Source organism: Homo sapiens, chromosome 6, assembly GCF_000001405.40.
Source record: "Homo sapiens chromosome 6, GRCh38.p14 Primary Assembly".
NCBI classification, from domain to species: Eukaryota; Metazoa; Chordata; class Mammalia; order Primates; family Hominidae; genus Homo; species Homo sapiens.
The window spans coordinates 109,239,174-109,258,090 of record NC_000006.12 but is presented as its reverse complement, the minus strand read 5'-3'; the positions used below and the strand labels follow the sequence as shown (position 1 = coordinate 109,258,090).

At 41.3% G+C, this 18,917-nt stretch overlaps 1 pseudogene across 1 annotated transcript in view, besides 2 other annotated features; it reads right to left on the bottom strand.

Annotated features, from left to right (window-relative positions):
* The window catches only part of CCDC162P (coiled-coil domain containing 162, pseudogene), a 189,118-nt pseudogene that overhangs the window by 96,858 nt on the left and 73,343 nt on the right, over window positions 1-18,917 (bottom strand). The window contains exons 15-19 of the transcript NR_152435.1: window positions 18,571-18,763; window positions 15,785-15,912; window positions 3,443-3,643; window positions 2,599-2,720; window positions 317-545 (exon numbers count right to left, since the gene is read on the bottom strand). The product of NR_152435.1 is annotated as a coiled-coil domain containing 162, pseudogene (transcript). The remainder of the gene's footprint in view (window positions 1-316; window positions 546-2,598; window positions 2,721-3,442; window positions 3,644-15,784; window positions 15,913-18,570; window positions 18,764-18,917) is intronic.
* Window positions 6,366-7,144: an enhancer, noted in NCBI's record as "NANOG-H3K27ac-H3K4me1 hESC enhancer chr6:109572150-109572928 (GRCh37/hg19 assembly coordinates)". NCBI's record gives its function as "activates a minimal SCP1, AML or CMV promoter by ChIP-STARR-seq in primed H9 embryonic stem cells {active_cell/tissue: H9 hESC(primed)}" and the evidence as "EXISTENCE:reporter gene assay evidence [ECO:0000049][PMID:30033119]".
* Window positions 15,304-16,503: an enhancer, noted in NCBI's record as "MED14-independent group 3 enhancer chr6:109562791-109563990 (GRCh37/hg19 assembly coordinates)". NCBI's record gives its function as "activates an origin of replication core promoter dependent on BRD2, BRD4, P300/CBP and CDK7 cofactors, and independent of MED14, by STARR-seq in HCT116 cells {active_cell/tissue: HCT116}" and the evidence as "EXISTENCE:reporter gene assay evidence [ECO:0000049][PMID:35650434]".

Below are 18,917 nucleotides of genomic sequence, written 5' to 3'. Positions count from 1 at the left end.
GTGGAAAGAAAATATATCATTTTTAATTAAAATGTATTTGTTAAAATATAAATAATAAACCAGAAAACATTTCCCACATACCCATGTATATCACCTTTTAAATTTTAATTGTAGCAGTATGTTTATAAATGAGAAACTTTGACCCAATCCCCCAAAAAATGACATAAAAATGTTGACAAGGCCTATGACTGAGCTCTGTCTCTAGCCAAATAATGGGGGAATAGAGCCAAACAGAAAAACAAAGCTAAATAGTAACACCTGGAAAAAAACATTCTCCTTGCCAAGGACCCAACTACCCCCTTCAAAAAGAACTTACATCTTTCTGGAGCTGTGTACTGTACCAGGCCTCAGGCGTGGCTGGGGTGAGCCACAGGTCCAGGGCCAGCTGCAGGACATGTCGCTCCAGGGAGGCAAGGCCACTGGCTGATGTGGGTCTGCAGGCATGGCAGGCCTCTTGGAAGAGATGCTCTAGGGCTTTGGGGATAAGTGCTGCCAGGCTGAGGGAAGGGTGGAACTCCAGCAGATAAACATTTTTTGAAGCTGGGCTTGAAGAAAAGAACAACAAATGACAATTTTACACAACAAACTTAATCTGTTTCCGAAGATATTTGAATTTTATATTTTTAAAGACCAATAAAACAGCTTCTATATGTCCAGTGCATTATGAAAAACTGAGAGCTCAGAGGGACCTCAGAGTATGAGAACCAACAGGGTTGCATGACATGTTCTTTGTTTAATGTGAACCTTTCAAAACGGAAAGACACAGATGTATATTCTAGAAGCTCAATAAGAATAAGACTATACAGGCCGGGCACAGTGGCTCACACTTGTAATCCCAGCACTTTGGGAGGCCGGGCGGGCGGATTACGAGGTCAGGAGATCGAGACCATCCTGGCTAACACGGTGAAACCCCGTCTCTACTAAAAATACAAAAAAAATTAGCCAGGCGTGGTGGCGGGCGCCTATAGTCCCAGCTACGCAGGGGGCTGAGGCAGGAGAATGGCGTGAACCGGGAGGCGGAGCCTGCAGTGAGCCGAGATTGCGCCACTGCACTCCAGCCTGGGTGACAGAGAGAGACTCCGTCTCAAAAAAAAAAAAAAAAAGACTATACAGCAAAACTGTCAATAATCAATATTTACTCAAATATATAACAAAATAGCTCAAAAGTGACTACATAAAAAACAAATAATTTCCATGGTTATTAGTTTCTATTTTTCATCTGAATCTTTATCTCTGCTCTCCTAGAATGTTAATGGACAAAGACAATTTTTAAATGCTGTATGTAACTGCTGGAATCATTCAAATTGACTGTAAGGGTGTTATATTTCATAAATGGATGAGGCCAGAAGCAAAAAAAAAAAACTCATCTGTGGGTTATTTCTTTAGATATAAAGGGTTCAGCACAAGTCGAGGGTCCTTCTATACCTACACAGAACTGAAGAACATTGTAACTCCCTTTACATTGATGCAAATGGTATCTTTCTTAGTCCCGAATCTTTAAAAAAAAAAACAAAAAACAAAAAACAGCCTAAAGTCTGGAAAGGAATCTCACCAAGCAAATAATACTTGCTTTTGAGACTATTCTGGCAGGTTTTAGTATCCATATAACCCTAGCCTGTTCTGCCAAAAACCATTTCCTGAACAGTAAATGTTTGCCATAGCAAGCTGCACACACACAGCTGGTGTCTCAAGTTTATTACAGAGAAGAAATCAGTCCTGTGGAAGGTCTATGGGGAAAATGCAGAGTTTTGAGCCCGGGGCTCTTTCTCAAAAAATGAGAATCTCCCCTATTTGGTCCCGTGATGCCCTGCCTGCTCCCAAGATAATACCATAACCCATTATGGCAATTTCTTACACAAAGTCTGCCTTTACTGTTGGACTGTATACCTCACAGGAACATAGAACCATGCCTGTGTTGTTCATATCTGTGTGCTAAACAAATATCTGTTGGTTGTTGAAAGGAAGTATGTAATTTCTCCACCCATTTGGAGGCAATTGAGAGATTATGATCTAGAGCCACGCAGATCAACCTGGGGCTTGTCACCTGCTTCCCACTTTCCTCTACCCTCAAAGGTTAAAAGGGAATGAGGTAGATGGTTATGCTGCCTATCTAGGGGGTGACAAAGTGTGTACCCTCTCTGAGTGGTCACAGGAAATTTAACTCTGTTCCTTAAATTTAACTCTGCTGTGACCCTCCAAGGCAAATCTGCAGAAACCTCTTTAGTACACTTAAATTCCTTTTTAAGAAGCTTTTAAGCACATCCAAGTTTTATATGTGTAGGCTCGTGTGGTGCATCTGGTTAAATCCTGACAGCATCTCAAGAGTAACTGCTTTTTCCCCAGGCCTTTTCAAGAGAATAATGATTCTGTACCCAGTGGCATATGCTTAAATTCTAGCCTCCTATTCTTTATTATTCACAAAACAAACAGATATTCAATATACAAGGGAATCCCTCCTTCGTGGCCTTTGTACCTACTTCTTTCATCTCCCCCAAGCACTTGAGAAGTGCTTTATAGAGTAGTACTGAGATTTAACACTCTACCCTTAATTAATCTAGAAGATCACATGTAAAATGTCTAAAGACAACATCAACTTACCAGCTATTGTTGATGGAAATAAGTTGTTTGCAAACTATATTAAGGGGAAGTCCAAATGTATTGCTATTGTCCAGATGATCCTCTCGCCAAAGCCTCTGGACATACTCCCGCTGACGTTCTATCTAAAAATGTAGCATAAATATTAAAATTAGAAAAGTTAAACTTTCCCACGGCCATGAGTTATAAGCCTTGACATGAGAAGGATTTTGTCCCTTTGTGTCTCTTCATCATTTGACTAATTTTCACCCCGACATTGTTTTGAAGACTCTTTTGCAATGGGCTGGTTTCTCAGTCTGAGCCAGACAGCCAAGGGAAGCAAAGGCAACTGACTTCAGACAATTTTAAGAAGCAAAAGAGAAATCTTTCTGTTAAATAGTTGACTACATGGAAAAAATTTCAACCAGGTGGCAATAATCCTTTGTCTCTTGTTTGCTTCAAGCCATTAGCGTTTCCCTAGAGGACATACAATATGATGGTTTCTTTCAGTGTCCCAAAAATAATCACACTTTTTAAAAAATAAACACAATTTTATACATTAATGTCAAAAAGATATATCATTAGTTCTCCTTTCACTACAAATAAACTTCGCGATCTAATGAAAACTAAGGTCATCAATTCCTTGTGGACTATTAACTCTAATTAGGGGCGGAAATCTCTCTTTAAGACCATAGTTATACTGGGATTTCAACAATGCAAATGAGCTTACAAATAAGTCTGCTGTACATGCTGGCCTAGAAAACACAGATTCCAGATCTGCAATGGAAGGAAAACACTATTTTCATTTCTGGCCTGTGTTTTCCATCCTCTTCTCACATGCAGTCTTTTAAAACCCAACTACACTCACCTGCTGGTTGAGGATGCCCCTCACTAACTGCAGGTGAAGCCTCAGGCAGGTGCATTCCTCTTGGTAGGCCTTAATGAAATAGGGGTGGCTGAGATCAAACCTCGGGCGTCGGTGCACGATGTCCGTCATCACTTGTGCTAAGGTAAACCTCTCCTCAGGGTCCAACGTGTGCTGGTAGGCTTCAAAGTAACTGTCAAGAAGCTGCAAATAAGGTTGGTAGTCAGGGATCAGCAGAGGCAGCCTTGGGGCCCAGCAGAGCGACGGGAGGCCCCATCGTACTGTGGGCAGATGCAGTACCAATACAATGCAGTGCAGCTAGTAAACCTACAGACAGAGTTAGAGAGGGAAAGGGAAAGAACACATGCTTTGGAGCCAGACCTAGACTTGAGTTTGAGTTCCTGCTTCCATCCCCTCTTCCTCTGGTCTCCACAAATAAAAAGGGGTTATGTAATTATCATATATAATAATTATTAGCTCCAATGAGACAACACATTAAGACACTTAAATGTATTTATCTCCAACACCTTTCTCCAAGGACTCATTCTCCTTCTTCCATTTTATTCCATCACCAAAGCTAGGTAGGTGGTCGCCTGACTTCTACAGTCTCAGCCCCGCTTTTGACTCCTCCTCTTTAATAGTTTGTTCATACTTCACCTACACAAAAATGATACAGGTGGTAGAATGGAAGGCTGAGGGTAAATGTGCTTCCTATATACAAAGTGATTTATCCCAGACTCAACTCCTCTAGGTTGGGCCTTATAAACAGAACTCTCCAAGACATCAAGTGTCCAAAACCCCAGTGGAGCATCTGTTTTAGTGGAGTTCACAAGTCTTTTCTAAAAACCCAGAAAAGCTTCCAGACACTAACTGCTGAAGAGGGTTCTTAGTGTGGGAATTCAGAAAGAGATGCCTGTTGATTTTGCTTTTACATTTGTCTGTGAGCTTAAGGAATTCCTGTTCTGTGTGTAAATTCTATTTGTGTGTGATTAATCATGATGCTAATCAGAAAATGCTCTTCAGAGATCACTGGGTTGGAATTCCCAATTGGGACCCTAGGGCAAGATAAGTAGCTCTGATGTGTACAGTACATAATAAATCCCTTCTCCTGTTAATCTGTCTTTTGTCAGTTTCATTTTCAGGGCCCAGGCACTCAATCTAAGAAGGCAGAGGAAAAAGTTTTTCCTCCTCTACACAAAAGAGTTGAACCCTTGAGAATGAATAGCACACTAGGAATCAAATACTGCTTTATTAAGAGATACTTTATTATGGAGACCCAATGCTAAGGCTCAAGGAGGAAGAGCCTGAAGCACTTTATTCAGCACCTGGTTTTGTAGGCTATCCTTTGGGTATAAGGGACCTTGGATCAACCTTAGTATGAAAAGGGAAACACCAAAGGAAACTAAAAGCTCAGGTCACAGAGATGCTTCACAAGTCAGAAACTCACACATCAAGAGTGCAAAGTGAGGGAAGGTGGAGACCATCCTTGCCTTTAAATGAGCCCTAGGGAAAATGAGGCCAGCTGAGTGATCTTGGTTACCTTGTTCCATCCACCAACCTCTGCTCTATAATAACGCTCAATTATTACATAGCAGAAGACAACACAGAAATGAAGGAAGAATGACTGGATGGGGGTAAGAAGGGTGTCCCTCAGTAGCCCCAGGTGAAGATTAGGAAAGAAACAATTACTTCCCTAACCATTCTGGACTCACTTGAACCTTTTTTAGCTGGGCCAGGGCAATCCCAGAAGCTGATTTATCGTATTTATACTTCCTTGACCTGTTTTTGCACAAAGAGTCCAATTGTTTGGTTATTTAGCAGGAGGAGTTTGTGGGGAGTTGGGGGTGGAGGAAAGGTTCTGGGTGGTGATTCCAACCTGATGATACCAGATTGTAGAGGCCCATGCTAAATTGCCATTTTATTGTTATTGATAGGGCTGTCAGATTTAGCAAGTAAAAATATAGAACATTTAGTCAAATTTGAATTTCAAAAAAAAAATACTTTTTTAGTATAAGTATGTCCCAAATATTGCACTATTTTATCTGGTAAACCTAACTGTGGGGAAAGAAACTGTGGCTCTCTTTTTAAATTGATGAAGCTTCTTCAAGCTTTGTGCTCAACCTCGAGAGGCTCTCAGACCGTTGCATAATTTTATTATGAATTCTTTCCCAACAGGGATGGGGCCAAGATCTTTCTGCCTCATGGGTTCTATTTATTATCTGTTTGCTAACTGGCCCATTTCCATTTCAACTCTGGGCTGGTATTTGTTTAAGAAGTCTTCCCAGTCTGTCAAATGTCACCTGTGTGTGTCAAGGGCCAACTCTCAGGCAAGAAAATATGTGATGCATGCTGATGGTAAGCACAAAATATTGGAGAAAATGGGAAAATAGACAAAATAAATAATCTCAAACCTTACTGTGTTTATATTCTTTTTACTTCAAATTTTTTATTTCTGGGATTTAAAAAACTTCTAAAATAGTATTTTAGGTCAAATGAAAGTGCAAAACAGAAAATCTTTGCTAGACCCAACTTAGCACAGGAAATTTTCTTTTTGGCTTTTCTAAGGAATGATCTTTTTATCCAGTACATGTGTCCTTCAGTAGCTGTAGAAAGACTTAGCAGATGGTACAGTGTCACTTTGGAGCTGGTACAGCTGATAACTGACTTTTCTAAGAATCCCTTGATCTACCTAAGTTTCTACCAGCTCTAATTTTATGAGCCTTCATACATAATATGGTTATTTTAAGGATTTAAAAGAACCCAATATGTTCAAGCAATTCTTAACCCTAGTGATACCAATATATTTAACAATCAAAAACAGCTGAGGAAACTTGGCTGTAGAAATAGTACCAGGGCAAATCAACTACTTTAGATAGAAATCTGGCTTATCCATTAAAAATAGGCTCTTTTGACAAAATTTCTGACTTGGCCATATTTTACACTTTTCGCACTGATAGCTCAGTTTCTACAGGGAATTTATTCTCAGGATAGAAATGAGGGAGATATTTTCACCAAATGTTTTTAAGTCAAAATAGTTTCATTTACCATAGAAGGAACTAGTGGACAATCCCGACACCTTACCACAGAATGAATCCTAAGATGAAGTGTGGAGAAATTGGTTCGTTTTTCAGTCTTCTCTGCCTTCCTCCTCTTCTATTGCCATTGAGTCCTGCCGGGCGCCTCCAAAGGAGGCCCAGAGGCATTGAAAGGGAAGGTAGGGAGAGAGAGTACAGAAAGTGGGGGTGCTGTTTAAAATTCATGCCTAGGCCGGGCATGATGGCTCACGCCTGTAATCCCAGCACTTTGGGAGGCTGAGGCGGGTGGATCACGAGGTCAGGACATTGAGACCATCCTGGCTAACATGGTGAAATCTTGTCTCTACTAAAAAATAAAAAAAAAGGGAAGAGGAGCCAAGATGGCCGAATAGGAACAGCTCCGGTCTACAGCTCCCAGCGTGAGCGACGCAGAAGACGGGTGATTTCTGCATTTCCATCTGAGGTACTGGGTTCATCTCACTAGGGAGTGCCAGACAGTGGGCGCAGGTCAGTGGGTGCACGCACCGTGCGCGAGCAGAAGCAGGGCGAGGCATTGCCTCACTTGGGAAGCGCAAGGGGTCAGGGAGTTCCCTTTCCGAGTCAAAGAAAGGGGTGACAGACGCACCTGGAAAATCGGGTCACTCCCACCCGAATATTGCGCCTTTCGGACCGGCTTAAAAAACGGCGCACGACGAGATGATATCCCGCACCTGGCTCGGAGGGTCCTACGCCCACGGAGTCTCGCTGATTGCTAGCACAGCAGTCTGAGATCAAACTGCAAGGCAGCAGCGAGGCTGGGGGAGGGGCGCCCGCCATTGCCCAGGCTTGCTTAGGTAAACAAAGCAGCCGGGAAGCTCGAACTGGGCGGAGCCCACCACAGCTCAAGGAGGCCTGCCTGCCTCTGTAGGCTCCACCTCTGGGGGCAGGGCACAGACAAACAAAAAGACAGCAGTAACCTCTGCAGACTTAAATGTCCCTGTCCGACAGCTTTGAAGAGAGCAGTGGTTCTCCCAGCACGCAGCTGGAGATCTGAGAACGGGCAGACTGCCTCCTCAAGTGGGTCCCTGACCCCTGACCCCCGAGCAGCCTAACTGGGAGGCACCCCCCAGCAGGGGCACACTGACACCTCACACGGCAGGGTATTCCAACAGACCTGCAGCTGAGGGTCCTGTCTGTTAGAAGGAAAACTAACGAACAGAAAGAACATCCACACCAAAAACCCATCTGTACATCACCATCATCAAAGACCAAAAGTAGATAAAACCACAAAGATGGGGAAAAAACAGAACAGAAAAACTGGAAACTCTAAAACGCAGAGCGCCTCTCCTCCTCCAGAGGAACACAGTTGCTCACCAGCAACGGAACAAAGCTGGATGGAGAATGACTTTGACGAGCTGAGAGAAGAAGGCTTCAGACAATCAAATTACTCTGAGCTACGGGAGGACATTCAAACCAAAGGCAAAGAAGTTGAAAACTTTGAAAAAAATTTAGAAGAATGTATAACTAGAATAACCAATACAGAGAAGTGCTTAAAGGAGCTGATGGAGCTGAAAACCAAGGCTCAAGAACTACGTGAAGAATGCAGAAGCCTCAGGAGCCGATGCGATCAACTGGAAGAAAGGGTATCAGCAATGGAAGATGAAATGAATGAAATGAAGCAAGAAGGGAAGTTTAGAGAAAAAAGAATAAAAAGAAATGAGCAAAGCCTCCAATAAATATGAGACTATGTGAAAAGACCAAATCTACGTCTGATTGGTGTACCTGAAAGTGACAGGGAGAATGGAACCAAGTTGGAAAACACTCTGCAGGATATTATCCAGGAGAACTTCCCCAATCTAGCAAGGCAGGCCAACGTTCAGATTCAGGAAATACAGAGAACGCCACAAAGATACTCCTCGAGAAGAGCAACTCCAAGACACATAATTGTCAGATTCACCAAAGTTGAAATGAAGGAAAAAATGTTAAGGGCAGCCAGAGAGAAAGGTCGGGTTACCCTCAAAGGGAAGCCCATCAGACTAACAGCGGATCTCTCGGCAGAAACCCTACAAGCCAGAAGAGAGTGGGGGCCAATATTCAACATTCTTAAAGAAAAGAATTTTCAACCCAGAATTTCATATCCAGCCAAACTAAACTTCATAAGTGAAGGAGAAATAAAATACTTTACAGACAAGCAAATGCTGAGAGATTTTGTCACCACCAGGCCTGCCCTAAAAGAGCTCCTGAAGGAAGCACTAAACATGGAAAGGAACAACCGGTACCAGCCACTGCAAAATCATGCCAAAATGTAAAGACCATCGAGACTAGGAAGAAACTGCATCAACTAACGAGCAAAATCACCAGCTAACATCATAATGACAGGATCAAATTCACACATAACAATATTAACTTTAAATGTAAATGGACTAAATGCTCCAATTAAAAGACACAGACTGGTAAATTGGATAAAGAGTCAAGACCCATCAGTGTGCTGTATTCAGGAAACCCATCTAACGTGCAGAGACACACATAGGCTCAAAATAAAAGGATGGAGGAAGATCCACCAAGCAAATGGAAAACAAAAAAAGGCAGGGGTTGCAATCCTAGTCTCTGATAAAACAGACTTTAAACCAACAAAGATCAAAAGAGACAAAGAAGGCCATTACATAATGGTAAAGGGATCAATTCAACAAGAAGAGCTAACTATCCTAAATATATATGCACCCAATACAGGAGCACCCAGATTCATAAAGCAAGTCCTAAGTGACCTACGAAGAGACTTAGACTCCCACACATTAATAATGGGAGACTTTAATACCCCACTGTCAACATTAGACAGATCAACGAGACAGAAAGTCAACAAGGATACCCAGGAATTGAACTCAGCTCTGCACCAAGCGGACCTAATAGACATCTACAGAACTCTCCACCCCAAATCAACAGAATATACATTTTTTTCAGCACCACACCACACCTATTCCAAAATTGACCACATACTTGGAAGTAAAGCTCTCTTCAGCAAATGTAAAAGAACAGAGATTATAACAAACTATCTCTCAGACCACAGTGCAATCAAACTAGAACTCAGGATTAAGAATCTCACTCAAAACCACTCAACTACATGGAAACTGAACAACCTGCTCCTGAATGACTACTGGATACATAACAAAATGAAGGCAGAAATAAAGATGTTCTTTGAAACCAACGAGAACAAAGACACAACATACCAGAATCTCTGGGACGCATTCAAAGCAGTGTGTAGAGGGAAATTTATAGCACTAAATGCCCACAAGAGAAAGCAGGAAAGATCCAAAATTGACACCCTAACATCACAACTAAAAGAACTAGAAAAGCAAGAGCAAACACATTCAAAAGCTAGCAGAAGGCAAGAAATAACTAAAATCAGAGCAGAACTGAAGGAAATAGAGACACAAAAAAACCCTTCAAAAAATTAATGAATCCAGGAGCTGGTTTTTTGAAAGGATCAACAAAATTGATAGACCGCTAGCAAAACTAATAAAGAAAAAAAGAGAGAAGAATCAAATAGACACCATAAAAAATGATAAAGGGGATATCACCACCGATCCCACAGAAATACAAACTACCATCAGAGAATACTACAAACACCTCTACGCAAATAAACTAGAAAATCTAGAAGAAATGGATAAATTCCTCGACACATACACTCTCCCAAGACTAAACCAGGAAGAAGTTGAATCTCTGAACAGACCAATAACAGGAGCTGAAATTGTGGCAATAATCAATAGTTTACCAACCAAAAAGAGTCCAGGACCAGATGGATTCACAGCCGAATTCTATCAGAGGTACAAGGAGGAACTGGTACCATTCCTTCTGAAACTATTCCAATCAATAGAAAAAGAGGGAATCCTCCCTAACTCATTTTATGAGGCCAGCATCATTCTGATACCAAAGCCGGGCAGAGACACAACCAAAAAAGAGAATTTTAGACCAATATCCTTGATGAACATTGATGCAAAAATCCTCAATAAAATACTGGCAAAACGAATCCAGCAGCACATCAAAAACCTTATCCACCATGATCAAGTGGGCTTCATCCCTGGGATGCAAGGCTGGTTCAATATACGCAAATCAATAAATGTAATCCAGCATATAAACAGAGCCAAAGACAAAAACCACATGATTATCTCAATAGATGCAGAAAAAGCCTTTGACAAAATTCAACAACCCTTCATGCTAAAAACTCTCAATAAATTAGGTATTGATGGGACATATTTCAAAATAATAAGAGCTATCTATGACAAACCCACAGCCAACATCATACTGAATGGGCAAAAACTGGAAGCATTCCCTTTGAAAACTGGCACAAGACAGGGATGCCCTCTCTCACCACTCCTATTCAACATAGTGTTGGAAGTTCTGGCCAGGGCAATTAGGCAGGAGAAGGAAATAAAGGGTATTCAATTAGGAAAAGAGGAAGTCAAATTGTCCCTGTTTGCAGACGACATGATTGTATATCTAGAAAACCCCATTGTCTCAGCCCAAAATCTCCTTAAGCTGATAAGCAACTTCAGCAAAGTCTCAGGATACAAAATCAATGTACAAAAATCACAAGCATTCTTATACACCAATAACAGACAAACAGAGACCCAAATCATGAGTGAACTCCCATTCACAATTGCTTCAAAGAGAATAGAATACCTAGGAATCCAACTTACAAGGGATGTGAAGGACCTCTTCAAGGAGAACTACAAACCACTGCTCAAGGAAATAAAAGAGGATACAAACAAATGGAAGAACATTCCATGCTCATGGGTAGGAAGAATCAATATCGTGAAAATGGCCATACTGCCCAAGGTAATTTACAGATTCAATGCCATCCCCATCAAGCTACCAATGACTTTCTTCACAGAATTGGAAAAAACTACTTTAAAGTTCATATGGAACGAAAAAAGAGCCCGCATCGCCAAGGCAATCCTAAGCCAAAAGAACAAAGCTGGAGGCATCACACTACCTGACTTCAAACTATACTACAAGGCTACAGTAACCAAAACAGCATGGTACTGGTACCAAAACAGAGATATAGATCAATGGAACAGAACAGAGCCCTCAGAAATAACGCCACATATCTACAACTATCTGATCTTTGACAAACCTGAGAAAAACAAGCAATGGGGAAAGGATTCCCTATTTAATAAATGGTGCTGGGAAAACTGGCTAGCCATATGTAGAAAGCTGAAACTGGATCCCTTCCTTACACCTTATACAAAAATCAATTCAAGATGGATTAAAGACTTAAACGTTAGACCTAAAACCATAAAAACCCTAGAAGAAAACCTAGGTATTACCATTCAGGACATAGGCATGGGCAAGGACTTCATGTCCAAAACACCAAAAGCAATGGCAACAAAAGACAAAATTGACAAATGGGATCTAATGAAACTAAAGAGCTTCTGCACAGCAAAAGAAACTACCATCAGAGTGAACAGGCAACCTACAAAATGGGAGAAAATTTTCGCAACCTACTCATCTGACAAAGGGCTAATATCCAGAATCTACAATGAACTCAAACAAATTTACAAGAAAAAAACAAACAACCCCATCAAAAAGTGGGCGAAGGACATGAGCAGACACTTCTCAAAAGATGACATTTATGCAGCCAAAAAACACATGAAAAAATGCTCATCATCACTGGCCATCAGAGAAATGCAAATCAAAACCACAATGAGATACCATCTCACACCAGTTAGAATGGCAATCATTAAAAAGTCAGGAAACAACAGGTGCTGGAGAGGATGTGGAGAAATAGGAACACTTTTACACTGTTGGTGGGACGGTAAACTAGTTCAACCATTGTGGAAGTCGGTGTGGCAATTCCTCAGGGATCTAGAACTAGAAATACCATTTGACCCAGCCATCCCATTACTGGGTATATACCCAAAGGACTATAAATCATGCTGCTATAAAGACGCATGCACACGTATGTTTATTGCGGCATTATTCCCAATAGCAAAGACTTGGAACCAAGCCAAATGTCCAACAATGATAGACTGGATTAAGAAAATGTGGCACATATACAACATGGAATACTATGCAGGCATAAAAAATGATGAGTTCATGTCCTTTGTAGGGGCATGGATGAAATTGGAAATCATCATTCTCAGAAAACTATCACAAGAACAAAAAACCAAACACCGCATATTCTCACTCATAGGTGGGAATTGAACAATGAGATCACATGGACACAGGAAGGGGAATATCACACTCTGGGGACTGTGGTGGGGTGGGGGGAGGGGGGAGGGATAGCATTGGGAGATATACCTAATGCTAGATGACGAGTTAGTGGGTGCAGCGCACCAGCATGGCACATGTATACATATGTAACTAACCTGCACAATATGCACATGTACCCTAAAACTTAAAGTATAATAATAAAAAAAAAAGAAAATTATACTGAGGAAAAGAAAAAAATAAAAAAAAAATTAGCCGGGCATGGTGGCAGGCGCCTGTAGTCCCAGCTACTTGGGAGGCTAAGGCAGGAGAATGGCGTGAGCCCGGGAGGCGGAGCTTGCAGTGAGCCCAGATTGTGCCACTGAACTCCAGCTTGGGCGACAGCGTGAGACTCCGTCTCAAAAAAAAAAAAAAAAAAAAAAATTCACGCCTGGACTGATAAACTTGTTGAGTTTAAGGATCCTGTCTTATTTATATTTCATACAGCCATTCCATTACTACACTGTGCATCTAAATCTCTCACTCAGTTGGTTAAGGTTCTGATGGGCAGATTAAGCCTCCAGACAAAGGCTGTAGAAGCCAGTTATCATTGAAAAGAGGAACATTTTTTCAAAGTCCAAGGCTTGCGCTATTTAAGCCCAGCCAATTGTTTTCCAAAGGGTGGGTGACCTACATCTCTAGGAGTAACAGACCAACCAGAGAGTAGATGAAATGGTGAAGCATCTATTCTACTAGAAAAACAATTCAAAGAAAACACTGCCATTTCCCCATCTTCTGACCACATCATAGTGCACTATAACCTGGTTTCCACCCCTACCATGCCCCTGAAAGAGTCCTGCAATGCTGCCAATGACCACCTGACCAAGCTGCTTGGTTTTTAGGAGTTCCTTTCTTGACGTTTCACAGAACTCCACAAGTAACCACCCCCTCCTAATTAAAACTTATTTTTCTGTTGGTTCCCACAATACTATTTCTTCCTTGTTTCTCTGGTCTATTTAGTTTCACTGCTTCTTGTTTCATGACCTGCCCCTTAAATGTAGGTATATTACTCAGGGTTCGGGTGTGGTGGCTCATGCCTGTAATCCCAGCATTTTGGGAGGCCAGGGCAGGTGGATCACTTGAGGTCAGGAGTTTGAGACCAGCCTGGCCAAAATGGTGAAACCCTGTCTCTACTAAAAATACAAAACATTAGCCAGGCATGGTGGCGGGCACCTGTAATCCCAGCTACTCAGGAGGCTGAGGCATGAGAATCGCCTGAACCTGGGAGGCAAAGGTTGCAGTGAGCTGAGATCGTGCCACTGCACTCCAGTCTAGGTGACAGAGCAAGATACTATCTCAAAAAGAAAAAAAAAAGTAGGTACATTACTTAGGGCTTCATTTCAGACACCTCTAGCTTCTCCCAGTTGTTTTGATTCATCATTGTGGTTCAACCTCTGCATTCATACCTCAGCTCATACCTGTTCCTGAGCTTCAAACCTGTAGCTCCCCACAAAACATTCACATCTGAGTTTCAGCAAACCCCCTCAAATGCCTTGTTGTCCTAGGGCCTACGTTATTTTCCTGTCTAAAGACACTCTTCCTCTTCCTGGGTTCAGTTTCAGTTAATAGCCTCCTCCCTAATCCTCAGGAAGTTGTTTAAATTCCACCCTTACTCTCTCGCCCCAACTTCCAGATCCAGTCTTCAAATCCTGCCATTTCCACTTCTGCAAAGTATTCTCAGGTCTGTTCCTCCTTCCTATTCTCACCGCCTCTCTGCCTTTCTATTCTTCTATTGTCATTGCATGTCCCCTCCTAATTTTTCAGGTCACTGTTGCAACAACTGCACTTCTTTTCTCAGGGGCTCTCTATTCCAATCCATTCTCTCACTTACACCCAAGATAGCTGTTAAAAACACAGCTATGATCATATTTCTCTCTATGGAAACTCACTAATGGCTCTTCTTTGTTTGTAAGACAAACTCTAAAATAATATAACTAGTAGGTCTTTTACAGGCTGCACCCAAAACACATGTGTGGCTTGTTGCCATCCATCATGCCTTTACATCCCAGCCATAACAGTCTTCCTACCATCCTCCAAGAAGGTAAGATTTTATTTCTCAAAATAAAATCCCCCAAGCTGGTCCTTCCCATTTACATTGCCCTGACATTCTAATGCCATTTCGTCTGCTTAAGAATCTTTTCTTCCCTGCCAGACAATATCTTACTCATGTTTTAGTATCAAGATTAAATATCTATTCCTCTGGAAAGGCTTTCTAGCATTTCTTCCATCGGACAGTGCTCCCCTCCCCCAGGACAAATCTCTCTCTCTGCAGAGTCCCCATGACTCATGAATGTATTCAATTATAAGCTGTTAGTAACTAGATTATAATTTTTGCTTGGAGATTGAATCAACTTTTATAGATGATAAATTCCTTAAAGATAAAGATCATTTTCACTTAGTTATCTATAGGTCCCTGAATGCCTGGAACAGTCCCTGGCGGAGTAAATACTTCATATTTGGTAAGTAAATGCCTAACAATTGGTGATTATTAGAAGGGCTCATAATCCATGCTAAGGGCACAAATGAAGAACAGTAAACCTGCAGTGTTTCATTCATTATTGGGATATGAACCATTCGTGATACAGTGATGATTTAGTAACTTGCTGTTTCATTGCTTTAAACTCACCCTCATAACATTGCACTCAGCACCCTGTCCAATTGCTTTCACCTACCCACATGTGGCATACGCTTCTAAAGGCCATGATCAGGTCAATTTGTCTGTAATTAGCAAAGTGAGCATTGTCCCTGTGACTGCACAATGAGCATGAATGAAATCATCATTCATTCTCACTAAAAACATACATATTATAAGAAGGAATTACGTAGCCCTCTAACAAATAATACCTGTAAGATAAAGAAGTATCTTTCACATTTTGTTTTTTGTGATGAACCTCAGTAAAGAAAATAAAATGTATTACATCCTTATAATTAGCTGAGATTATTTAAATAAAATAATTATTCTCTTGGTTGAGAGCTTTTCTAAAAGTCTAACTGGGTTTTACAAAAACAAACAAAAAACAGAAAAAAGACTGGATTTTGTAAGAATGTTTTTTTAGCAGACATTTTGTCTCCTAGGCAAGAATACCTGGCGCTTGTTTTCCAGAAGAGCTGCTTCCCAAGTCCACGTGTCATACAGCACAGCAAATCTGTCCACATCTGCATGGGCCCATCCCCACTCCTGGCCACTCTTTGGCTGGCTGCCCACTTTGTGACCTGGGAGAAAAGAGGGTGAGAATGTTTAGAGACAGGGCTTCCAAGGAACCTGTTCCAATTAGAAATGTGCCCCTTGGATTATCAGCTCCATCTCAGAAACAGAAATACTGAACCAGTCCCTGGGACAAAGCCTGACTTCATACTTGTTGACTTCTAAGTCGACAGGAGCTTTTGTTTTTATTTTTAAAATTCAGTTTCAAAGACTAATCTTAGAAATAGAGTCAAAATTTAGTTAACAAGAAATCTATGCTAAAATGTCCTTAAACCCACAATTTAAAGGCAAAGTATACATTTCTCCTTCTCTAAAAACAAACCCCTGGGGGTTTAACAACAAACTTAGTTTGACTTGCTATTTCCATCATTGTGAACCAAGTCGAAAATTTTCAGAAACGTTTCCAAGATATTCCTTAATTATGTTAATTACTAACTTAAATCAATGAAGTTAATTTTCATTATTCAGCTGATTTTTTTTAACTTTGTTCACGTTACTTTTCACTACTGGTATTATTATTGCTTTAAATTTTTAACTATTGTATTTCAGAATTAAATATTCAAAGATAAGATACTTTCATGTGCTGAAATTTAAGCTCAATAATTATCACATATCTAATGGGTACTAAGCAAGAGAAAGATGATCAAGAACTTCCGTAGCAACAGTTGGGAAATCATTTCACAATAGATGACTATACATTTACCAGCTCAATTGAAAAATGCCCATGTGGTTAAATGACTACTGACTAAGTGTCTCAGTCCAGTTAAATTCTTAGCAGCTAGAAATAGTTGCATGCTATTATAAATTAATATGGACCAAATGGTGCATTGGTTTGTAGGATAACCAGTAAAGATAAAAGCTAAGGGCTGAAATTAAATACCCTGGAATGTTGGATGCCATCATTGCGTCCTATGATTCAGATACCAATGGCAAAGACAGGACAAAGAGTTCAATCCTATATCAAATTAATTCTGTCTAGGATCTGAAAAGTTAGTTGTCAAACTTTCTTTGAGCAGCATTTTATAACAATATGAATGTGAATTATCTTTAATTACAGTCTACACATATTACAAAATAGCACAAACCCTGATTAAGTTTCCCTTTAGGTATTGCAATGTGTCTAGAAATTCTAAGCTCTTTGCAAGTGTAATTCCAATGCTGTCATAGTATCCCAAAAGAATATTCTTACCTCATTCATTTCTAAAATTGGATCGATTTGAGTGATGCCAAAAGGAAGAGAAAATACAGGTTATGGGTTACTTGATTACCCTGAGTAATGATTTCTTCCTCTGGGGCTTGTCTGGCATTTTCCTAGCCAGATGTTCTTGCATCCTAGTGGTTTCCTGTTAGGAACTCAGGGCTGTCTCTGCTGCTAAATGCAGTTTCCTCAAGGTCTACCACTTAGAAAAGTCATTTGTTTCACTTGCTTACTTTCCTTCCTTCAGGGTCCTGCACCACATCCCCTGCACCCAGTGGGTGACGCAGAAATGCCCCTGGGAGTAAAATCCCAATTCTTGGCTTAAGCCTGTTTTAGTCAGAAACCACCCAATTTAGCGTGCAGGTCACCAGAGTGGGTAGAGGGTCAGAGGTCAGGTCTTTGGCCCTGAGAAATGAAAATGCAGGGGCCGTGCTGTCCCTTGTACCTCAGGAGAGCAAGGAAGAAACTGGGCCTTCCCTGGCAGGGCTTCCTGCTCCTGCTTCTGTCTCCACTAGGCTTTCCCAGAAGGCAGCACCTGCTCCTCAGTCAAAGCACCTGCCTCGCACCCCTCCGGCCCCCTCAAGCCCACGATCTGCCTCTGAGTGTTGCACTAGGATTTTTATCGCTTAAAGTGTCTTAATTCTTTGTTCCCTGACACACAAGCCCTCTAGCTATTGAAGGGGAGATCATGAGAAACCTTCCAGGGAACCAGAGCACAGAATGACTGTTAGTTGTTTTTTCAAGTCTATATAAACATTTCAACAGATCACAAAGAAAACATTTATCTCTTCGGTCCTCGCAAGAGAAGTCAAAGGAACTTTTGTTTCTTATCAAGAGCCTGGACATCTTTGTCTGTCGTAACTGGAAAGAGCCTGTTGTACTGAAATCCTGTTATCATGGTGGATTTGATCTTCAGTGGCCAAACATGAAGAATTAAAAGCATAATTCTTGACTGAACTGGTGGGTGGGTTGAACTTTAGGAGTACATGGGCGGTCATTCCTGGCGCACATATCAGTGTGACATGAGCCCTGGAGCATGTCGTCCCTCTCAGCCCTGCTCCTTTCTGTCTCCTGGGGCCCAGTGACTGAGGCCTTACGCTAGAACTGTGTATCATCCAACTCTCCATTTATAAAGGAAACTTCCTGCTGCAACAACAAAAAAAAAAAAGAAAGAAAAGAAATGTCCCTGGTCAACAAACAGAGTCTGAATCACAGCAAGAATTACAACCCGGCCCTGAAAGAGTAGTCACCATCTCTATCAGAAGCAGGGCTTGAGCTGGAAACAGAACTGTGTCTCTCCTAAAGTGAATGCATTTTAGGGGTGGGGGAAGTGTGCGCTTATTGAGTTTTCACATACTATTGGATATGTGTTTATATTTTGGGGTGGAGAGTATTAAAAAGGAGCCCTTAGTGTTTTTTGTTTATTTAGGCAGTTGATTTTTTTTTTTTTTTAAATCTGACTTCTCACCCCTTTCTTTCTCAATGTAATGGCTAGCCACAAGCAGCAACTCTGCCTCTAGTTCCTTGAGATCACTCAAGGCTTCCTCATACATGACATGCACCCCTTGCTGGTCCTGGGTGTGGATGCAGCCAGCTTCTGTGCTGTAGTAGTCATCCTGGTTCTCCACTTCCGAGAACTCCATGAATTGGACGCTGTGGACCTGGAGAAAGAAAGCCAAGCCCAGATGTTACTGGAAAAAGGAGAGCTATATTTTGCCATCCCACATGGACAAGCAGCAGGCTTCTGCTCCCACACAGTGGGCTGCCAGTATGAAGCTGTAAATATTCTGAATGTATAAAAAGCTGTATGCAGAA